Here is a 20,339-nt window from a genome sequence, read left to right as displayed (position 1 = left end):
GAGCAGTGTTATAATTGACTGTTTTAATAGTCAAAAACTCTGGTTGGTACATGGACTTTATTTAAAGGATTCAAGTCAACTTATAGGAATGTTTCCACTGTTCCAGGATGCTGCCTTCAGCCCTGTCTTTTAGTTTAACATGAACATAAAAAAGTGAATGTTGTTTCGGAAGACATTGATGAAAGTATGATATTGGAAATTGCGGAGATGATGGTCCTGCTCTATTCTGTTGCTTAGACCCCGGCTGGAATGCTGCATTCAGTTATGGACCCTACTAAATGCCCAGGTAGTCAAAGCCCAATCAAAGACGAATAATCGGGACAGGGAAGGAACTCAATAAGGAAGCATGAAGAACAATGGAAATGGAGCTGGGCATGGTGGTGTGTGCCTGTAATCCTGGCTACTCGGAAGGCTGAGGTGGGAGGATCACTTGAGCCCAGAGTTCAAGACCAGGCTGGGCAACATAGTGAGACCCCATCTCTTAAAAAAAGAGGTAGAATTGATAGGTAGCCTGGTGAGGAGTTGTCTTCAGGTTGGGAGAAGGTACATGGCTGATCTCTTTAAACAACAGAAAGACCATCACGTGGAAAAGGATTCAGTTTATTCTCTGGCTCCAAGGAACAAACTTGATATTACTGAGGAAGTTATAGACATGGATTTTAGCTTAATGCAGATGCTCCTTTACTTACAACGGGCTTCATCCCAATAAACTCATCGTAAGTTGAAAATATTGTAAGTTGAAAATGCACTTAACATATCTAAGCTCCCAAAGATCACAGTTTAGCCTAGCCTTCCTCAAATATTCTCAGAACATTTACATTAACCTATAGTTGGGCAAAAGCATCTAACACAAAGCCTATTTTAAAAATAGAAGGTTGGTCTTCATATGTTGCTAGCCTGGAAAAGATCAAAATTCAAAATTTGAAATACAGTTTCTATGGAATGCATATTGCTTTTGCACCACTGTAAAATCAAAAAGTTGTAAGTCTAACAGTAAGTCAGGGACTGTTTGTATAAGAAGGCTTAATAGTTGGTTCAGTGATAGCCACAAGGGAGCAGGCTGCCTCATGACATAGCGAGCTCCCTGTCACTGGAGGTGTGCACACAAAGCCAAGAGAACTCTCAGAGAGTGTATGGTGTGTGGAAATCCTCACTGGATGAAGTTAGGGTCGATGTCCTTCCATATTCTCTCTGATGCTGAAATCTGATGAAGTCCATAGCGCAGGTTGGGAAGAACAGGAAACTGGAGGAAAAGAGACCAGATTTATTACAAATTGTGAGCTGTTCTGGAGTACAATTCCCAGCCACCATTCTAGCTCCAGAAAAAGAAAAATTCATGGAGGGTTGCATTATTCCCAATTCTTCACCACTCCCTATATCCAGTCCCTTTGTCATGTGACTTTGAAGTTTCTCCCACTAGAGGCAGAATATGATAATGTTGGGTTGGCCAATCAACTTGTTTTGGCTCATAGAATGTGGGTGGAAGTGACCATTCCAACCACAGGCTTTATGAGATATTGGGGCTTTTTGTTCACCCATCTTGTGCCATGTGAAAAACATGCCCTTGGTGGGCATCACAGAAGAAATAGAGACACATGCCATAGACTAACCTAGCCAACCTGCAGAGCTACTACATCCTTAAGCAGAGCTGTCCCCGCCAATCCATGGACACCTGAGAGAGAAATACATGCTTTATTATTGTATGGCACTTCAATTTGGTCGTTATTTGCTAAGCAGCATTATTATGGCAATAACTAATTAGCAATTAGTTATGGGATATTCCAACAATTTTAAGATACAGCAATTGAAGGCAGTTGCCAGGCTTCTGTTGGCCTTTCTAGGATCTGAGAAAGCAGCACTTGAGGCAAATAACCTATCCCAACAGACTGTAGACATATCCTGTCTTGGGTATAGATGTTGCTGGAAATGGATGACCAAAGTCACTGAGCAGGGCCTGGACCCAGTGCCATGGCACCTGTGTACAGGTTGGGATAAAGGGGTGAGAGGAGGAAGCAGACCCACTTCGGGTCATGAGAACAAGTATAGTTGAGCACTCAGAACAAAATATAGATGGTAATAGCATCCTGACACGCAGTTTATTTGTGTTGTGACAGATTGAAGATGGCCACAAATTCTTTCCTACATCTCTTATCAATTTGTGAAGTCTATTTCCTCTCCCCTTGAATCTAGGTTAGTCCTGTGACTTATGTGGACCAATAGAATGTAGCTATGTATCACTGTATAACTTCTGAGCCTTGGCCTGAAGAGATCTTCTGGGCCAGGCACAATGGCTCACGCCTGTAATCCCAGCACTTTGGGAGGCTGAGGTGGGTAGAAAGCTTGACCCCAGGAGTTTGAGACCAGCCTGGGCAACATGGCAAAACCCCATATCTACTAAAAATACAAAAATTAGCTGGGAATGGTGGCGCACACCTGTAGTTCCAACTACTCGGGAGGCTGAGTTGGGAGGATCACCTGAGCCCAAGAGGTGGAGGTTGCAGTGAGCCAAGATCACACACCAGTACACTCCAGCCTGGGTAACAGAGCAAGACCCTGTCTCAAAAAAAAAAAAAAAAAAAAAGTCTTCTGTTTCCTCCTATGCATTCAGAATGCTCCTTCTGAGAACCCAGCTGCAATGCTATGAAGAGGCCCAAGCAACTCTGTGGGGGCCCACCTGGAGGAGGAGAAGTGAGACACCTGGCTAACAGTTCCAGCTGAGCTCCCAGTTGGCAACTAGCACCAACTTCCAGCCATGTGAGTAAGGTCATTTGTACCTCCAGACATTCTACCACCCCACTCAACACTCTGTGAAGCAGAAAACCACTGGGTTAATGGTTAATGCACATAACTGTAAGAAATAATAAATTGTTGTTTTAAGAGATTCATTTTGGGTAGTTTTTTTTGTTTGTTTGTTTTGCATAGCAATAAATCAGGCATTGGCAAACTTTCTGTAAAAGATCAGATAGTCAATATTTTAGGTCTTGCAGGCCAGATGATCTCTGTTGCTACTACTTAACTTTGCCATCATAGTATGAAAACAACCATAGAAAATACACAAACAAAAGAACATGGCCGAGTTCTAATACATTTTCACTTACCAAAACAGACGGTGGGCTAGGTTTGGCCATGGAAACTAGTTTCCCAACCCCTGCAATAGATAATTAAAACAAATTAACACCCAGAAGTGGGGAGCTTCCATAACAAAAATCTAAAACATATAACATTGACTTTGGAATAAGGAAGCTTGCGGAGTCCTGAAGGGTAGGAAGGAGGATGACAACACAGCGAGGAAGTTGTTGGGAAATTATTCAGGACCTAAGTGACATAGTAGTAACATGTAGTAACATGGATAAGAGAAAATAATTGAACTTGCCGCCTTGGTATGGAGATTTCTAGGCAAAATGTTCAAAATGCCAACTTACTCCCTTTGGCTGCCTGTGAAAAAGTACAGGAAGAAGAAACTATTTTGTTTCAAGCAAAATTTTGAGAAACTATAGAGGGCCCAGGGCATTATATACAGCCAGAAAAAAGAAATGCTCAAAGTAAATTAAAACCTAGAGGGAATATTAATTCTAAGACCTTCCCCGTAAAATGGGGCCTTAAGGTCACGGATGTGGCTGTAAGACTTTTTTGTTGCCGTTTCTCAAATGTTATATTAGTTATTTTTTGTACTCTATTAGTATATTATTGGCATATAGTAATATATGGGTAGCAATTTAAAAAAAAATGTTAGATTTGGGGGTACGTGTACAGGTTTGTTATATGAGTATATTGCATGATGCTGAGGTTTGGGCTTCTAATGATCCTATCACCCAGCAGGTAGTACCTGATGGGCAGTTTTTCAACTCTTGTCCCTCCACCTCTGCTGGAGTCCCCAGTGTCTACTGTTCCCACCTTTGTGCCGAGTGTACTCAATGTCTAGCTCCCACTTATCGGTGAGAACATGTGGTACTTGGTTTTCTGTTCCTGCATTAATTTGCTTAGGATAATGGCCTCCAGCTGCATCTATGTTGCTGCAAAGGACATAATTTTGTTCTTTTCTATGGTTGTAAGACTGTTGAGATCTCAGAAAGCCTTAAAACAGCGCCTCCTAAACCTCTCATGTAGACTAAAGTGCTTCTAAGAGTCTTAAAGTTTTGGTTCACAGCACTGTAATTCACAGCCTAAAGGAGGGAAGGGCTTATCTTGAGATTTGGGGGTATGGTTTGAGTAAAAATAAAATTAACGGAAAGTCCACAGTTTTTTCCCCTACAAGAATTGTACCAGTGTAAGCAGTAGTGGCTTGAGCTAAAACAGACAAAGATAGTTCAACATGAAAAGAGCACACCGGGTACCCAGTGAAGCATCTTGAACAAGTTACCGGACTGTGAACAAAGCCTATTTCTTTTGGAAAAGGAGGAATGACTCAAAGGATGGAGCCAAGAGCTCCATCCAAGGGTAGAGATAAGAGCCACAGAGAATCACATTCCCTGCCCCTGGAGCAGGGGGAGCTGGTGACAAGTGCATGGTTAGTTCTCACATTTGCTAATGGCTGTTATGTGCCTCTTATTAATCTCCTATTCTAAATGGGAGTGTCTATTGTGGTTTTCTTGTCCTTGTATTTCCATTATATGTTAGACGTGTGGGGGAAAAGTCACTTAAGTAAAAGTTGCGAGTTTAGTACAAATAATTTGTTTAGACTACAGTCATACGTTGCTTAATCATGGGGATTCTTTCTGAGAAATGTGTCGATAGTCAATTTTGTTATTGTGCAAACATCAAAGAGTGAGTCTAAATCCAGATGGTACAGCCCACTACACATCTAGGTTATATGGTATGGCCTATTGCTCCTAGGCTACAAACCTGCACAACATGTTACTGTACTGAATACTGTAGGCAATTATAACACAATGATAAGTGTATAACTAAATATATCTAAACATAGAAAAGGTACAGTAATAATACACTGTAAAATATAAAAAATAGTATACATGTACAGGGCAGCTTTATTATAATCTTATGGACCCATCATCCTATATGCTGTCCATTGTTGACTGAAATGTTGTTACGTGGCACATCATGGTATTTGAGAGTAAATTTCCGATATGATGCCCTATTACTCCAAAACCCTTTTGTGTATATTTCCAGTGTAACCACAATATAATCATCAAAACAGGAAGTTAACATGGCTACATTATTATCATTTTATGCTTAGTCCCCATCCAAGTTTCACTGGTCATCCCAATAATATTCTTTTTTTTAATTTTTAATTTTTTTAGTGACAGGGTCTTACTGTCATTCAGGCTGGAGTACAGTGGCTTGATCATAGCTTACTATAACTTCAAACTCCTGGGCTCAAATGATCCCCTGCCTCAGCCTTCCAAGTAGCTAGGACTACAGGTATGCACCACCATGTCCAGATAATTTTTAAAATTTTTCATAGAGACAGGGGTCTTGCTATGTTACCCAGGCTAGTATCAAACTTCTGGCCTCAAGCAGCCTTCCTGCCTTGGCCTCCCAAAGTGCTGGGATTATAGGCATGAGCCACCACACTAGGCCTCCAATTTTATATATATATATATATATATATATATATATTTTTTTTTTTTTTTTTTTTTTTTTTTTTTTTTAAGACAGAGTCTTGCTCTGTCGCCCAGGCTATAGAGTGCAGTGGCGTGATCTTGGCTCACTGCAACCTCTACCTCCCAGGTTCAAGCGATTCTCCTGCCTCAGCTTCCCAAGTAGCTGGGATTACAGGTGCACACCACCATGCCCAGCTAATTTTTGTATTTTTACTAGAGACGGGGTTTCACCATATTGTCCAGGCTGGTCTTGAACTCCTGGCCTCAAGTGATCTGCCTGTCTTGGCCTCCCAAAGTGTTGGGATTTACAGGCATGAGCCACTGCTTCTGGCCCCCAATAAGATATACATGTAATTTTGAGACGGAGTCTCACTCTGTCACCCAGGCTGGAGGGCAGTGGCACGATCTCCGCTCACCGCAACCTCCACCTCCCAGGTTTAAGCGATTCTCCTGCCTCAGCCTCCTGAGTAGCTGGGATTACAGGCATGTGCCACCATGCCCAGCTAATTTTTGTATTTTCAGTAGAGATGGGGTTTCGCCGTGTTGGCCAGGCTGGTCTTGAACCCCTAACCTCAGGTGATCTGCCTGCCTCAGCCTCCCAAAGTGCTAGGATTACAGATGTGAGCCACCATGCCCAGAGAATATTCTTTATAATAGGAGGATCCACTTTAGAATCACATGTTGCATTGTTTTTTTCCTTCAGTTTTTCATTTTTCCAAAAATTACACCAAGCTAAAGCAAAGCTCTAGTTGAGGTGGGTGTGTTGTGTAGACGTTAGCAGTACTGCCCTCACTACATGCTCTTTGGACAGTAGTGCAACCCCAAGAAAAGGATGGTTAGTTATTTCTCTTTATTTTCCTTCAATTGTGATGAGAACATTTTCTTGACATTCTGGAAGATTTCAGGATGGTTATTTTCTAGAATGTCTCACAATTTGGATTTCTCTAATGTTTCCCATTAAAATTGTTAGCATTTCTTAAGGCAGTATTTGAAATTAGGTAAATATATTGCTACTCATCAAATTCCATTTATTTATATCATTATGGACTCATAGTTTATTTTGTTCAACTGGTAATAGTTTCTATCAATATTTATTTTCATTCTCAAATTTTTCCATATTTGGCCAATGGGAGCCCCTTCAAACTGATTTCTGTGTCTTTTTGACATAATCTTATCATTCTTTGAGTTCTTCCTCACTTTCTGACACAAGAGTTTCCAGGTTCATCTTGTAATATTCCTAGCCAGTCCCTGGAATCAGCAATCAGCCTTTTCTCCAAGAATACCTAGGTCCTTTTATTGGAGAATGGTGTTTAGAAACCAAGACTTGGCTGCTAGATGTGCTCATGGCCTTGGGAAATTTCTGCTCCCAGACAATACACACACACACACACACACACACACACACACACACACACCATTCTTATTTCATCTATCACTATATTGAAAATAATGAATTCACACCAATTTCTCAAATTTAAATAATGTATCAAAGGATTCATTTTAGTTTTCTCCCTGTCTATATTTGTAACTCCTCTGACTGTCAGAAACTTGGGTAACTCTCATCTATATATAGTTGCTTTTTTTTTTTTTGCTTTTTTTTTTGAGACGGAGTCTCGTTCTGTAGACCAGGCTGGAGTGCAATGGCCCGATCACGGCTCACTGCAACCTCTGCCTCCCAGGTTCAAGTGATTCTCCTGCCTCAGCCTCCCGAGTAGCTGTGGATTACAGGCATGTGCCACTAAGCCCAGCTACTTTTTGTATTTTTGGTAGAGATGGGGTTTCAACACGTTGGCCAGGCTGGTCTCTAACTGCTGACCTCAGGTGATCTGCCCGCCTTGGACTCCCAAAGTGCTGGGTTTACAGGCGTGAGCCACCATGCCCGACCATATGGTTACTTTTTAATCAGTGTTGCTGTGTTCAACACTCTCTTCATCACATCTTGGCTTCAACACCCTGTACTCGGTTGCCCTACTTCACAGGAGACTTCCTACCATGCTCAGGTCCTGAGGCCCTTTTTGCTCTCCTGGGCTTTGACCCTCTTTGCTGGGCTGCTATCCTCCCCACCCCCACCCTTACCCCTCCCTATCCTGGTTGGGCTTTGACACCCTGTCTATGCTGTTTGGACTCTTATGTTGCTCAACCCTACCTAGTGACTTTTTAACTGAATTTCTCAGGAAAAGGGAGAAAAAAAAAAGGAATGAGGTAATTTGTCTTTATAATCCACAGGTCCCTCTTTTATCTTTATTTTTTAGAGATGTTACCCAGGCTGGTCTCAGACTCTTGGGCTCAAGTGGTCCTCCCACCTCAACCTTCCAAAGCACTGGGATTAAAGGCGTGAGCCACTGCACCCAGCTATCCGTATCTCCCATCCCTGAACCTGAGGAATATACCTGTGAAACTGTGTCCCAAAGAGTTAAAGAAAACAATGACTAACAGAAATTCCTGAGTTTGCAGGATGGCAGATAAGAAAAGAAACAATGTGCTGAAATGCCAAAACTCCCTCTGCTTGAGATAAAAGAACTGGCTGAAATCAGTTGGAACAAACAGGGCAACTGGGCTGTTCACAGAAAGAGCTTTCTGGTGTCACAACCCAAATTTCCACCACGTTTCATTCTAAATCCCCCTGAATTGCACATGTGACCAGTGAAGAGGCATGAAGAAATAATTGTGCATGACTGAGGACTTTCCAGACCTCCCCTTTCCTTCCACCAGTTACTTACTAATCTCAGAATCCACCCCCCAAAATTTTTCTGATAAAAACACTACCTTAAAGCCAGCCCAGGGAGACTTGAGCCAGCCCAGGGAGACCTAAAGTCACCACAGGGAGATTTCAGCTGGACTCTTCTATCTCCTTGTTGGCCTACCTGCAGTACAAAGCTTTTCTTTTCTCAAAAACCAGGTGTCACAGTATTGGTTTCTAGAACATTGGGCAGTGAGTGCTTTTGCGCTTTGGTCGGTAACACCTGGATCTGATTTAGACAATACTTTGGACCTGAAGTCTTAATTAGTTGAACTTTTGGGGGATTTTAAGAAGACACTAATGTATTTTACCTGTGAGAAGAATCTAAATAATCTGTGGCCATTGGGCAAACTACTGTGGAATAAAGGTGCCTGACAATTCTTTGTCCCTCCTCCCATCAAGAGGTGGAGTCAGCCAGGTGAAATGGCTCATGCTGGTAATCTCAGCACTTTGGGAGGCCAAAGCAGGAAGACTGCGTGAGCTCAGGAGTTCGAGACTAGCCTGAGCAATATCGCAACATCTCATCTCTACTAAAAATTTTAAAATTAGCTGGACGTGGAGGCGCATCCCGGTAGTCCCAGCTACTCGGGAGGCTGAGGCAGGAGAATCACTTGAGCCCAGGAGTTTGACGTTATAGTGACCTATGATCACACCACTGCACTACAGGCTGGTTGATAAAGGAAGATCCTGTCTAAAAAAAAAAGTAAAAACAAGAGGCCGAGCCAGTTTTATTCCCCTTGAATCTGGCCTGCCCTATAAACTTGTTTTAAGCAAAAGAATGCTTTAGAAGTGATGCTAAGGCTGGGCTTTCAGGGATCTCCATCTTCTGTATTTTTGAAATGCTCCTTTTTGGAATGCTTCCTCTAGTTTGTGAGGAAACCCAAGCAGCCACATGGAGAGTCCTTTGTGGAGAGATCCAAGTGGAGAATGAAGGCCCCATGACCCAACCCATTCTGAGTTTCCAGCCCCCAGACAGCCCCAACTGCCATTCACATGAGTGAAGCCATTTTGGAACTTCCAACTGTGCCAGTGCCTCAGCTGACACCATGTGAGGCAAAGCTGCCCAGCCAACTGCAAAACTGCGAGAAATTGTTGCTTCAAAACAGTAAGTTTTGGGGTAGGTGTTACGCTGCAATAGATGACTGAAATAACTGTCTACCATGTGCCGGGCACTATTTGATGCCCTTCTGATCCATGAGGGTAAAAACAGAAATGTAACCTGGCAGGTGCAGAAGAGGGCGCCATAGGAGGGCAGAGGAAGGCCAGCTGCAGGGAGAAGCAGGGAGCTGGTGATTCTGGGCAGATGAGCACATGGATGGGCCAACGGCCAAGCCCCCATGCCAGCTTTTGGCCAATCAGCACTGCAACTTCCTCCTGCATTTGTCTCGCCGGATGGGATTAATTTTTCACCTGACGAAGTAGAGAGTGGAAAAGAGCTGGAGACAGTGGGGAGAAAGGTTGCCTGGGTCTGTCTCACTAGCACCAGTTAATGTCTGGACTGCTGGACAATGTTGTCCCAAAGGTTTCTGGGCCATCTGTATTATTTGTAATTGACTGCTTCTAGGTGCCTGTGGATCAGGGGCAGCTGAGACTAGTGCTCAGGCCTCAGTGGACTCTGCAAGTTCCTGAGGGATAGGCAATCAGCAAGTGTTGTTCCTTTTCCTCGATTTCTGGCCACGTGTGTCCTGGGACAGGTCTGTGATTCTTAATAACCCCCGCAGTCCTGTCTCCTGGCTATCATCTATACCAATGGAAGACACATCCCCATTTCCCCCTCCACTTAATTTTCAGTTGCAGGACTAATCTGACCCACCCTCACTCATTGGCCAGGCCGACTTTACCCCTAGACACAGGATGCTGGGGTCAGCTTCACCTTTACCAACTCCTTGGAGAACTCCACTTTACGTTCTAAACTAAGTTAGCAATAATTTTTCCCTTCTCTCCTTCCCACATCATTAAGATGATCACAGTATTTAAAAAGTATTTTAACAAATATCGGCCGGGCACGGTGGCTCACAACTGTAATCCCAGCACTTTGGGAGGCCGAGGCAGGCAGATCACGAGGTCAAAAGATTGAGACCATTCTGGATAACACGGTGAAACCCCATCTCTACTAAAAATACAAACAAATTAGCCGGGCATGGTGGCAGGCACCTGTAGTCCCAGCTACTTGGGAGGCTGAGGCAGGAGAATGGCGTGAACCCAGGAGGCAGAGCTTGCAGTGAGCCAAGATCACGCCACTGCACTCCAGCCTGGGTGACAGAGTGAGACTCCGTCTCAAAAAAAAAAAAAAAAAAATCTAGGGGCTGAAGATACAGTAGTGAACAAGAGAGAAATTTCCTGTTCTCATGAAGCTGATTTTCTAATGAGGGAGGCAAGACAACAGAAAATAAATGCATAATGTTGGGTAGTTGATATCCACTCTGAAAAAAATCAAGCAGGTTAAGGCCGGGCGCGGTGGCTCACGCCTGTAATCCCAGCACTTTGGGAGGCCGAGGCGGGCGGATCACCTGAGGTCAGGAGTTTGAAACCAGCCTGGCCAACATGGTGAAATCCGTCTCTACTAAAAACACAAAAAATTAGCCCGGCGTGATGGCAGGCACCTGTAATCCCAGCTACTCAAGAGGCTGAGGCAGGAGAATCGCTTGAACCCGGGAGGCAGAGGTTGCAGTGAGGTGAGATTGCACCATTGCACTCCAACCTGGGGGACAAAAGCAAGACTTTGTCTCAAAAAAAAAAAAAAAAAAATTCAAGCAGTTTAAGCAGATTTGGGCAGGAGGCCATTCTGCATAAGGTAGTCTGAAAAGGTCTCTGTCATAAGGTGACATTTAAGAGACCTGAATTGAATGAAATATTGGGGACAAGTGTTTCAGGCTAAATGAACAGCAAGTACAAAGGCCCTGAGGCAGGAAGAAATATGGCAAGTTCAAGGAATAGCTATCAGGCTAGTGTGGCTAAGGCAGGTCCAGCATGGTAGAGTGACAGATGTGGGTGGGGAGGGAAATAGGAACCAGATTGAACAGGGTTTCTGTGGATTTGGTTCTGAACAAAATGGCATGATCTGATTTATGCTTACAAAGATTTCCTGGATGCTCTGTGGAAAACAGACTAGGGAGGAGGAATGGAGGAGGTGGAAGCAGGGTGACCAATTAGTAGCTGCCATATAACCCAGGGCAAGATGATGGTGGCTTGATCGAGGATGGTTACATCAGAGTTGGCTGGTGGTGAATTTTGATGTTTTGAAGGTAGCACTGACAAAGCTGGCTGAGGGCTTGCAAATGGCATTGAGAGCAAGAGAAGCACATCAAGGACACCTTTTAGATTCTGGGGAACTGAATAAACAATAGTATCACTCTCTGAGGGAGGTAAGAACGGGAGTGGTGTGTAAGGAGTAGGTTGCTGAGGGCAAGATGTATTGTGTTTGAGATGCCAGTAAAATAAGCAGTTGAATCTGGAGGTCAGGGAAGAGATCTGGGCTGGAGACAAATCAGTGATCAGCATTTGGATATTATAAATCATTCCGAGGCAGTAAGTGTAGACACAAAAGAACATCATGGACTATGGCTGGGGCCTTCAGCAACTGGGGAAGAAGTCCAGAGAGGAGACAGAAATGGCCAGTGAAGTGAGGAAGATCAGAAGGACCTGGTGTCCAGGAAGTCAAGTGAGGAAAGTTGATTCTGTATGATCACAACCAAAGTGTCAACTCATAAGCCTTATTTTCTCATCTGTGAAATGGACACCGTAACACCACCTACTTCATGGCAGATAGTACTGGCACACAGCAAACTCTCAAAATAAGGTAGCTACTGTTATTCCCTGATGGTTGGCTGCCAGAGCCCTCAACTTCCCTATCCACATTACTGACAGCACCTCCATGAGTCTTTCTCTGGGGTGAGGTGTCTCTGCTCACTCAGGGCCTGAGGCCTCTGGGTCAAATCGAGGTCAAGTGGCTTCAGTGCCTAAGTCTCTCACCCACACAGCCTTCAGCCCTTACTTGCAAATCAACAAAGGGTAAACCTGTAGAAAACATGGGTTTCGGAGCCAGAATTCTGCCTCTTGCCAGCTGTGGGCTCTTAGGAAAGTTTCTTAATCTGCCGGGGCCCCACTCTACGACATGGGGAGAACTGCTACTTCATGGGACAGTGGGTAGCCCAGTGTAGACTGTAACGCCGGCTGATCTCCTGCACGCTGGCCTGGGAGTTAGAGGCTTCTTGCTGCTCTCCTCTTCAAAGTATACAGGACTCCCGCCACACACACATCTGGAACCAAGCTGGTCTGAGAGCCCCTTATAGCCCAGGCTACCTGATGGGGAGGCACAGAAGTGGCAACCCGTCCACTTTCTTTGCCGCAGGACCCCCCGTTAAGCAGCGGGGTCCAGCCGGGCTGAGTTAGGGAGGGGGTTTCGAACGTGCCACTCCTCGCCCGGCGTCGAAGCCCGTTTCCTGGGTAACCTTTTTCTGCCTCTCTTCCTAGCCCACCAAGGCCCACTGGCCAGAACGCCGCCGCGGCCCCAAACCACTCCAGATAACCACCCGCCAGCTGTCCTCTCCGTTCTCTCCGCCGCCGCGCTGCAGGCCCAGGCTCGCACCCGAGTCCCTTCGCACCCCAGGAAGTGGCGCGGCCTGTCGAGGGCAGCGTGGAGGAGGAAGAGGAGGCGCGGCTCAACGCGACCGAAGCTCCGCCGCAAAGGCTCGGGAGGAAGAGGGCGGTGCGCGGCCAAGCGTCGGAGCTGCAGTCATACTCCGGGGACCCCACGACGGCGCCCCGCCCGCTGCCCACCCTCCCGAGGCCCCGCCCAGCGCGCCCATCCCGCCACGGGCTGCCCCGCCTTCCCGCCCTCGTCCAGAAAACCCCGCGCCCGGCCCCGCCCCCGCCTTCGCCGGGGCCCCGCCCCTCCCCTCTCCGCCGGCGCCTCGGGCGGCTTCTCGCCGCTCCCAGGTCTGGCTGGCTGGAGGAGTCTCAGCTCTCAGCCGCTCGCCCGCCCCCGCTCCGGGCCCTCCCCTAGTCGCCGCTGTGGGGCAGCGCCTGGCGGGCGGCCCGCGGGCGGGTCGCCTCCCCTCCTGTAGCCCACACCCTTCTTAAAGCGGCGGCGGGAAGATGAGGCTTCGGGAGCCGCTCCTGAGCGGCAGCGCCGCGATGCCAGGCGCGTCCCTACAGCGGGCCTGCCGCCTGCTCGTGGCCGTCTGCGCTCTGCACCTTGGCGTCACCCTCGTTTACTACCTGGCTGGCCGCGACCTGAGCCGCCTGCCCCAACTGGTCGGAGTCTCCACACCGCTGCAGGGCGGCTCGAACAGTGCCGCCGCCATCGGGCAGTCCTCCGGGGAGCTCCGGACCGGAGGGGCCCGGCCGCCGCCTCCTCTAGGCGCCTCCTCCCAGCCGCGCCCGGGTGGCGACTCCAGCCCAGTCGTGGATTCTGGCCCTGGCCCCGCTAGCAACTTGACCTCGGTCCCAGTGCCCCACACCACCGCACTGTCGCTGCCCGCCTGCCCTGAGGAGTCCCCGCTGCTTGGTAAGGACTCGGGTCGGCGCCAGTCGGAGGATTGGGACCCCCCCGGATTTCCCCGACAGGGTCCCCCAGACATTCCCTCAGGCTGGCTCTTCTACGACAGCCAGCCTCCCTCTTCTGGATCAGAGTTTTAAATCCCAGACAGAGGCTTGGGACTGGATGGGAGAGAAGGTTTGCGAGGTGGGTCCCTGGGGAGTCCTGTTGGAGGCGTGGGGCCGGGACCGCACAGGGAAGTCCCGAGGCCCCTCTAGCCCCAGAACCAGAGAAGGCCTTGGAGACTTCCCTGCTGTGGCCCGAGGCTCAGGAAGTTTTGGAGTTTGGGTCTGCTTAGGGCTTCGAGCAGCCTTGCACTGAGAACTCTGGTAGGGACCTCGAGTAATCCACTCCCTTTTGGGGACTGACGTGAGGCTCCCGGTGGGGAAGGAGACTGACCTCTCGGTTCACGTGTCTTGCCATAGAGCCACTCTCCTGAGTGGGTTTTTCTCCTGATCGTTTGGGCCAAGTGACTTCTCTCTGAACCTCATATTTCTCTTCTGGGATAATAAATGGTCACCCTTTCAAGGGGTTGTTTTGGAAGATATTGTGAACAATGGTAAATAAGGGCTTAATTAATGAGGGTAAGCCCTCAGTAAATTGTCACTGTGTGTTCATTTCTTCCTCTGTGTGGATCGTGACCGAGAGCCCTTCCCCCTAGCCTCCTCCTGGTATGGGTACCCAAAACCTAGGTGAGCAGGGATCTCTCCCAGGGGCAGAGAGCTTGTGTACTCTGGGTGTTAGAGGGCTAAAATATAACCAGTCAACACCACGTTGCCCATTTCTGGTACTTCCGGTAGCAGCCTGAGTCTCAATTATCTTGCCCAGATGATCTGAACTCTGACCTCTAGCCTGTTTCAGCATAGGCAGAGAGCTTGAGTAGGTGAGTTTGCATTCCTCATAGCAGCTGGCTGAGCCTAGTCTGGACTTCTCTTTGACCTGTAACCTACAGGCCCACAGGCCCAAGGCAACCACAGGTTGCTTCCAGGGTTACCACACAGGTGGTTTCTCATTTCTAATGCTAGGTTTTAGATAATTGTTGTAAGTGAGGGGCCCTGGCAGGCAGGATGACATCCTGCCAATAGGAGTTTTCTGTCACTTTCCCACAGAGCCCTGGCTACTACATACTCTTGCTCAATTTCGCCAGTAATTGCGTCAATGTGTTCATATCAAGTTTGGGAAGAACATCTTGGAATTGGTCAGACGTGAACTGTGGTAATAATGGGGGCTTGTTTTTTTAAGCAGATAATTAAATTCCTTTGCATTTGATGATTATTCTGGGAAGCAGACTAGTCCCATAAAATGAAATGGACTCTGCCTTGCTGCTAAGTGTCTGACTTGAGACATGCTATCGAGTTTCTCAAAATCTCTTCCTTGTGTAAAATGTGGTTGTCGATGATTACCTTACAGGGGTTTTTTTAAGACTAAATGAGATCGTGTACATTAAATACAGGCACTCAGGCTGGGCATGGTGGCTCACGCCTGTAATCCTAGCACTTTGGGAGGCTGAGGGGAGTGGATCACTTGAGGTTAGGAGTTTGAGACCAGCCTGGCCAATATGGTGAAACACCATCCCATCTCTACAAAAATACAAAAAAGTTAGCCAGGGGTGGTGGCATCGCAGCTACTCAGGAGGCCGAGGCAGGAGAATTGCTTGAACCTGGGAGGCAGAGGTTGCAGTGAGTCAAGATTGTGCCAGTACACTCCAGCCTGGGCGACGAAGCAAGACTGTCTAAAAAAAAAAAAAAAAAAAAAAATACGGGCACTCAATACACCGTATAATAATAATATAGTAATAATATTTGCTTAGGATCTTTAAAAAGTTTCATTTTTTCAGACTCCCACAGAAATGGCTCTGCACAGCAGAGTGAAGGGGGAGAGAGACTGAGTCTCCAGGCCAGAAAAAGGCCAGGTTTTTTGCTTTTGTTTTTAGTTGTTGCCTGGATATTGCACAGAAAGAAAAAATAATTAGCAAGTTAAACAAAAGTACCGCAAAGTTGATTACATTGGTATTTGAGTATCACATCTTCTCTCAGAAGCGTAAGAGACAAGGTCGTGACCATACCTCTGCTTAGTTTTGTTTTGTAATGGTGTTGCTAGTGATCGGCTTGTCACCAGTTACTGGTGTTTCTAAATGGACTATAATTGGCTACTTGAAAGGACTTCCTGAGAAAGAACATTTTGGAGGACGAGGAGAGAGTGCCTTCTCTATTTTGGCTGCTTTCATGTGACATGCAAGAGACCATGACGTTTAGGCTGCTGCTGAGGCAGCCCCAGAAATGGGGGCCGAGAGGTCTTTTCTTCATTTTAATAGGGTCTGTAGGTTTGGGTGGTTAGGTACAGTTCTCAGAATGGAGGTTCCTGGCTATGAGGCCTTGAGAAAGCTGAAAGTCTCCTTGGGAGTGTGTGGGTGGGGGGAGTCGAGCCCATCTGTTCATGGGCAGGTGTCAGCCAAAGCCCTTGCGGGTGGTTTTGAGGTTGGTGGGAGAAAGCATCCGTGGGGTTTAGAGTTGTGGCCTTTTCACTACTTGCAGTTCCTTTCCCCGACTTGGCTTTACTTTCTGGTGTCCAGGGGTCTGGGCCAGATGCTGAGATTCCTCTCAGCTGACAGGTGTGGGTTATGGGCAAACCCTTCCCTGGAGGACATAAGGCACCGGATTGGACTGCTGATGGGTTGCTGTTGGAGTTGTCAGGGCCTTGGAATAGTCTTCAGATAGACTTGGGTTAGTGTGACCTGGGGCAGGCTGCAGGTTTGGAGCCATAGTACCCCCCGCCCCCACACCGGGCACCCTGCTCTGGGCTAATGTGAGGCTTGCAGGAGTGAGTGATGCAGTGGGAAGGGGGGCCTTTCCTGAGGATTCTACAGCTTTCTCCAGGGAATCCTCCCAGGTAGTTTAGGCCTGCAGGTGCTATGCTATCCTTCTTTCCTAACCCTGTCTCAGGTCCTCAGCGGGGCCATGCGGCATCCACTTATAACCCTGCAGCGAGGCCCTCTTTTCTGGCCACCTGGGTGTTTGCCTGCTGAGATGGGAGGAACAGTGGCCTTGGGCTTCTTCCCCCGTCATGTTTATCTCTGCTCAGATTGGGCAGCAGCTCAATGGGACTTGACCAGCTGTGGCACTGCCAGTCTGAAGATGAGTAGGGTGATGGGGGGAGGTGGGCAGTACCTGAAGCTGAACTGGTGAGAGAGGCAGGCTGGCCTGGGGGCTCAGCTGGGGCCTGGGATGGTTGGTACAGTCCCCTCAGGGGGGTAGGGGAGTGAGTGTTAGACTGCTTAAGCCTCAGAGGCCGCTCTTGCCCACCTATGCTTTGAGGAGATCCTCTTCATTTGTTCAAAGGGAAGACTCTGATCTAGAGATGGGCACTTGGACCAGCAAACAGCAGCTACAGGTAGCCAGGGCACCCGAGGAGCACTTGCTCATGAGCCGGTTTCCCTGGTTTTTATGGGGGCTGTTGCTGAGCGTCTGCCAGGGTTTGTGTCCTAGCACTTGCTGGTCTTTGCTGGGCTCTCAGCTCTCAGGTGTTTCTCTACCAGCACGTTTCCCCCTCCCTCATATGCACACATGTGGACACAAGCAGGCTGCCCAGGACAGAGTGTACTTTGAGGCTTGGGAAAGGACTCTCTCTCGCCCTTTTGGGGATGAGCCTTGGAACCTCATCACCTTCCGGCTTGGGGTGGAGCTTCATCCTGGGGGTTGAAGCTTTAGGCTCAGATAACTAGTCTTGTAAGCCAGTTTTGTCCTGTTGTTTTTTTCGTGGAAAATAATGTATTGACGTATACACAGACATTCTTTGTCTAACAGTCTGAGATTGAGAAATACCCTCCATGACTATTTGGTTTGCTTTCATGGTGAAACTTGGTCGCTTTCTTAGACACAGCCTATGGCAATAAGAGTGATCCCTGGCTGCTGTAATTCATTCCAGACTTTGAGCAAACACAAGGCACCGCCTCCACCTGCAGTGGAGCCTCTGATGAACCAAATGGAAACTCCTTGGGGAATGGGGAGTAAGAGCCAAATGTGGGATTGGACTTAAACTGCAGCTTCTTAGAACTGTAGCATTCCACGATGGGATTGTCTAGTGCTCTTCCTGGAGGTTACTATTCAATAGTTGGCTAGTGCACAGGTTCAGGGGTGACCTGATATGCCCTAGCGTTTCAGAAGATCCCTGCAAGGTGTGTCTTTTGGTCCATCTGAAGGGTCTTGTATGGTGATCTTGTATGGATATCCGTGACGGCTAAGGCATCTGATAACTTCATTCCTTCAGTTCCAGCAGTGTTCCTGTATTATGCTGGGCACTAGAGCTACAAAGAAGAAAACAAAGTGCCTCCTCTTCAGGAACTCTTAATTTAGGCAGGGGAGGCATAATTGAACAGTGCTGAGGTCATCTAGGGGAACCAAAGTGTGTATTTATCCCCTTCCCTATCACTCCCCTCCCTCCTTCATTTCTTCCTTTCTTCTTTCAGAAACTCCAAGTTCATATCAAAATTCTCCAGCCCTGGTTTTATTTGGTTGTGTGAAAATTTTCCTCTAATTTCTGAAGCTATGCATTAGTTCTGCTGAGTAATCTTTAACTTGCTGCTTTATAATGATTATAATGAGATATCACTGGGTATTATGGTCTTTGGGTAGCAGCAGGGTAGGGATTTCCAGGCTGGGACTAAGCTAATTTATGGGTTGGGAATTATGGGGCAGTTAATAGCAAGGCAGTCCAAGCTTTCCACAGATTCCACCCTAGGGACCATCCAGACTTAAGGAACAGGGCCGGCAGGCTCATCCCCTTTGCACTCAGCTGGGCTATGGGTGTGTGTTTGTGAAAGAGGTTTATTCAGTAGTCATACCTGCTGATTTCCCTGCTATCTGTTTACCCAGTGCCTCCTGTACCTTGTTTCTTACTCTTTGTTCTCTGCTCTTACTATGAAGAAGCAGAGACTGGAATTCTGCTTGAACCCACATCTACCTGGAAATTCCAGTTTTTCTTGTCCAGTGGAGCAGCAATCCAGTTGTTTTAGGACAAATGGTCTGCCCTTGAAGCTTAAATCCTTTGAGGGCCTGGCATGGTGACAGTTTTACATTTGGCTTTGGTATAGACTGGTGTGGTCCCTGGGCAGTGAGGTCACTGTAAGGCCAGCCAGCCAGACCCTGGCTCCTAGGGGAATTAACAAGGCATGGGATTAGACTCACAGGGTCCCTCCTGTCCCTAAACTTGGTAGGGGTTCCTGGGAGCCAGACTGCGATTAAGATTGTAGAGACCTGAGACCTGAGTTGTAGGGGCCTCTGTGTTGATCTGGGCCATTGCCGGGTGAGCTGAGGCGGTCACTAGCTCAAGGAGTGATCTCAGGATATTGTTCTGTAAGTCAGAGACCTCCAGGTTGGAGAGTGGGGCTTGGGGGTGGGGGACAGGGTTTAGTGGGGAGCTGGTTCTGGGTGAATGTGGCCTAAAGGGATTTGTCCTTAGAAGACAGAGGGGTGAGTCACACACTCAGTGCTTCAGGTTCCACTTTGCGGCTTGGCCTCAGCCCGCCCCTTCCCTGCACAAATGAAGGCCAGGGGCTATATAATTGGCTGTTGCTGAATTCTTTGGCAGTGATTTTAAAGTCTGGTCTGGGTGTGTTATGTAGCTGCTTCTCTATCCACTCCCCACACCCGCTGCTTCTCCAGAGCCCCTCACAAAGCCCAGGCAGAGAGAGAGAGAGAGAGAGAGAGAATGACTTGCCTCACAGAGATGTTGGGGATAGGGATAGGGGTATGGGTCTTTGCTTTTGCCTTTTGAGGGGGGATAATCTCTTCCTTCATTTTAAAAGTAAAAAGTAATGCAGGCTCATTGAAAATAATTTGAAAAGTTGAAAGAGATATAAAAGCACACCCAAATTCCTATCACCCAAAAGAAACATACCGGCATATTTCCTACTAGTCTTTTTCATGTTTAAGAATATAGCTGATATATTTTTTTTTCTTTTTCTTTTTGAGACAGGGTTTTTGCTCTGTCACCCAGGCTGGAGTGCAGTGATCACGGCTCACTGCAGCCTCGACCTCTCGGGCTAAGCGATTCTCCCACTTCAGTCTCCCGAGTTGCTGGGACCACAGGTGCACACCGCCATGCCTGACTAATTTTTGTATTTTTTGTAGAGATGGGGTTTTGCCATGTTGCCTAGGCTGGTCTCGAACTCCAGAGCTCAAGTGATTCACCTGCCTTGGCCTCCCAAAGCGCTGGGATTATAGGTGTCAGTCACCACACCCAGTGTTATAGCTGTTGTCTTTATAGATGAACAGATAGATTGACATAGATTCATGTAGATAGCCTGGTGTTCAGCATTTTTCATTTAAGATTCTGTCACAGACTTGACCCTATACCTTTAAAAATCACAAAGGCAGTATCATAGTCTGTCAGCTGAATATGCCATAACTTAAAAAAATCATTCAACTGTTGCTGAACACACACATATACATATATAGTTTTTGTTTTTTCTTAGTGATGTAGTGATGCTTGTGCAGAAAGC

The 20,339-nt window shown here is 47.2% G+C and overlaps 1 protein-coding gene, 1 long non-coding RNA gene and 1 pseudogene across 9 annotated transcripts in view, besides 14 other annotated features; 1 reads left to right on the top strand and 2 right to left on the bottom strand.

The window, feature by feature from the left end:
- Nucleotides 1-20,339, top strand: part of B4GALT1 (beta-1,4-galactosyltransferase 1) — an 81,013-nt gene that overhangs the window by 4,522 nt on the left and 56,152 nt on the right. For 3 of the 6 annotated variants that reach the window (NM_001378497.1, NM_001378496.1, NM_001497.4), the window contains exon 1: nucleotides 13,232-13,810. In NM_001378497.1, coding sequence (NP_001365426.1) covers nucleotides 13,399-13,810 — 412 coding nt within the window. In that variant the 5' untranslated portion in view covers nucleotides 13,232-13,398. Of the gene's footprint in view, nucleotides 1-2,608; nucleotides 2,755-9,168; nucleotides 9,407-12,774; nucleotides 13,811-14,954; nucleotides 15,056-20,339 lie in introns of those variants that run through there. The other 3 variants (XM_047423231.1, NM_001378495.1, XM_047423232.1) reach the window with 3 other exon arrangements.
- B4GALT1-AS1 (B4GALT1 antisense RNA 1) lies at nucleotides 585-13,620 on the bottom strand. Of its 3 annotated transcripts, NR_108109.1 has the most exons (5): nucleotides 13,522-13,620; nucleotides 3,374-3,435; nucleotides 3,099-3,148; nucleotides 1,611-1,672; nucleotides 585-1,243 (listed from the first exon to the last, which is right to left on the bottom strand). It is a non-coding gene; the product is annotated as a B4GALT1 antisense RNA 1 (long non-coding RNA). The 3 variants fall into 3 exon arrangements; NR_108108.1 differs by lacking the exons at nucleotides 3,374-3,435; nucleotides 13,522-13,620 and adding an exon at nucleotides 12,296-12,709; NR_108110.1 differs by lacking the exons at nucleotides 1,611-1,672; nucleotides 3,374-3,435.
- On the bottom strand, nucleotides 6,273-6,398 carry RNU4ATAC15P (RNA, U4atac small nuclear 15, pseudogene; annotated as a pseudogene).
- Nucleotides 7,290-7,790: an enhancer, noted in NCBI's record as "H3K4me1 hESC enhancer chr9:33172776-33173276 (GRCh37/hg19 assembly coordinates)". NCBI's record gives its function as "activates a minimal SCP1, AML or CMV promoter by ChIP-STARR-seq in naive H9 embryonic stem cells {active_cell/tissue: H9 hESC(naive)}" and the evidence as "EXISTENCE:reporter gene assay evidence [ECO:0000049][PMID:30033119]".
- Nucleotides 12,251-12,815: an enhancer, noted in NCBI's record as "H3K27ac-H3K4me1 hESC enhancer chr9:33167751-33168315 (GRCh37/hg19 assembly coordinates)". NCBI's record gives its function as "activates a minimal SCP1, AML or CMV promoter by ChIP-STARR-seq in naive and primed H9 embryonic stem cells {active_cell/tissue: H9 hESC(naive and primed)}" and the evidence as "EXISTENCE:reporter gene assay evidence [ECO:0000049][PMID:30033119]".
- Nucleotides 12,649-12,728: an enhancer, noted in NCBI's record as "active region_28285". NCBI's record gives its function as "activates an Ori minimal core promoter by ATAC-STARR-seq in GM12878 lymphoblastoid cells {active_cell/tissue: GM12878}" and the evidence as "EXISTENCE:reporter gene assay evidence [ECO:0000049][PMID:35858748]".
- Nucleotides 12,799-12,898: an enhancer, noted in NCBI's record as "active region_28284". NCBI's record gives its function as "activates an Ori minimal core promoter by ATAC-STARR-seq in GM12878 lymphoblastoid cells {active_cell/tissue: GM12878}" and the evidence as "EXISTENCE:reporter gene assay evidence [ECO:0000049][PMID:35858748]".
- Nucleotides 12,799-13,480: a biological region, named in NCBI's record as "H3K27ac-H3K4me1 hESC enhancer GRCh37_chr9:33167185-33167750".
- Nucleotides 12,816-13,381: an enhancer, noted in NCBI's record as "H3K27ac-H3K4me1 hESC enhancer chr9:33167185-33167750 (GRCh37/hg19 assembly coordinates)". NCBI's record gives its function as "activates a minimal SCP1, AML or CMV promoter by ChIP-STARR-seq in naive and primed H9 embryonic stem cells {active_cell/tissue: H9 hESC(naive and primed)}" and the evidence as "EXISTENCE:reporter gene assay evidence [ECO:0000049][PMID:30033119]".
- Nucleotides 13,049-13,448: a silencer, noted in NCBI's record as "silent region_19832". NCBI's record gives its function as "represses an Ori minimal core promoter by ATAC-STARR-seq in GM12878 lymphoblastoid cells {active_cell/tissue: GM12878}" and the evidence as "EXISTENCE:reporter gene assay evidence [ECO:0000049][PMID:35858748]".
- Nucleotides 13,207-13,480: a silencer, noted in NCBI's record as "fragment chr9:33167086-33167359 (GRCh37/hg19 assembly coordinates)". NCBI's record gives its function as "represses an EF-1alpha promoter that drives an FKBP-Casp9 reporter gene in an ReSE screen in K562 erythroleukemia cells {active_cell/tissue: K562}" and the evidence as "EXISTENCE:reporter gene assay evidence [ECO:0000049][PMID:32094911]".
- Nucleotides 16,182-16,231: an enhancer, noted in NCBI's record as "active region_28283". NCBI's record gives its function as "activates an Ori minimal core promoter by ATAC-STARR-seq in GM12878 lymphoblastoid cells {active_cell/tissue: GM12878}" and the evidence as "EXISTENCE:reporter gene assay evidence [ECO:0000049][PMID:35858748]".
- Nucleotides 16,432-16,491: an enhancer, noted in NCBI's record as "active region_28282". NCBI's record gives its function as "activates an Ori minimal core promoter by ATAC-STARR-seq in GM12878 lymphoblastoid cells {active_cell/tissue: GM12878}" and the evidence as "EXISTENCE:reporter gene assay evidence [ECO:0000049][PMID:35858748]".
- Nucleotides 16,570-17,069: an enhancer, noted in NCBI's record as "H3K4me1 hESC enhancer chr9:33163497-33163996 (GRCh37/hg19 assembly coordinates)". NCBI's record gives its function as "activates a minimal SCP1, AML or CMV promoter by ChIP-STARR-seq in primed H9 embryonic stem cells {active_cell/tissue: H9 hESC(primed)}" and the evidence as "EXISTENCE:reporter gene assay evidence [ECO:0000049][PMID:30033119]".
- Nucleotides 16,922-17,041: an enhancer, noted in NCBI's record as "active region_28281". NCBI's record gives its function as "activates an Ori minimal core promoter by ATAC-STARR-seq in GM12878 lymphoblastoid cells {active_cell/tissue: GM12878}" and the evidence as "EXISTENCE:reporter gene assay evidence [ECO:0000049][PMID:35858748]".
- Nucleotides 18,464-19,458: an enhancer, noted in NCBI's record as "H3K27ac-H3K4me1 hESC enhancer chr9:33161108-33162102 (GRCh37/hg19 assembly coordinates)". NCBI's record gives its function as "activates a minimal SCP1, AML or CMV promoter by ChIP-STARR-seq in naive H9 embryonic stem cells {active_cell/tissue: H9 hESC(naive)}" and the evidence as "EXISTENCE:reporter gene assay evidence [ECO:0000049][PMID:30033119]".
- Nucleotides 19,478-19,607: an enhancer, noted in NCBI's record as "active region_28280". NCBI's record gives its function as "activates an Ori minimal core promoter by ATAC-STARR-seq in GM12878 lymphoblastoid cells {active_cell/tissue: GM12878}" and the evidence as "EXISTENCE:reporter gene assay evidence [ECO:0000049][PMID:35858748]".

This window comes from Homo sapiens, chromosome 9 (genome assembly GCF_000001405.40).
Source record: "Homo sapiens chromosome 9, GRCh38.p14 Primary Assembly".
NCBI classification, from domain to species: Eukaryota; Metazoa; Chordata; class Mammalia; order Primates; family Hominidae; genus Homo; species Homo sapiens.
This window is presented reverse-complemented; position numbering and strand designations above follow the sequence as displayed.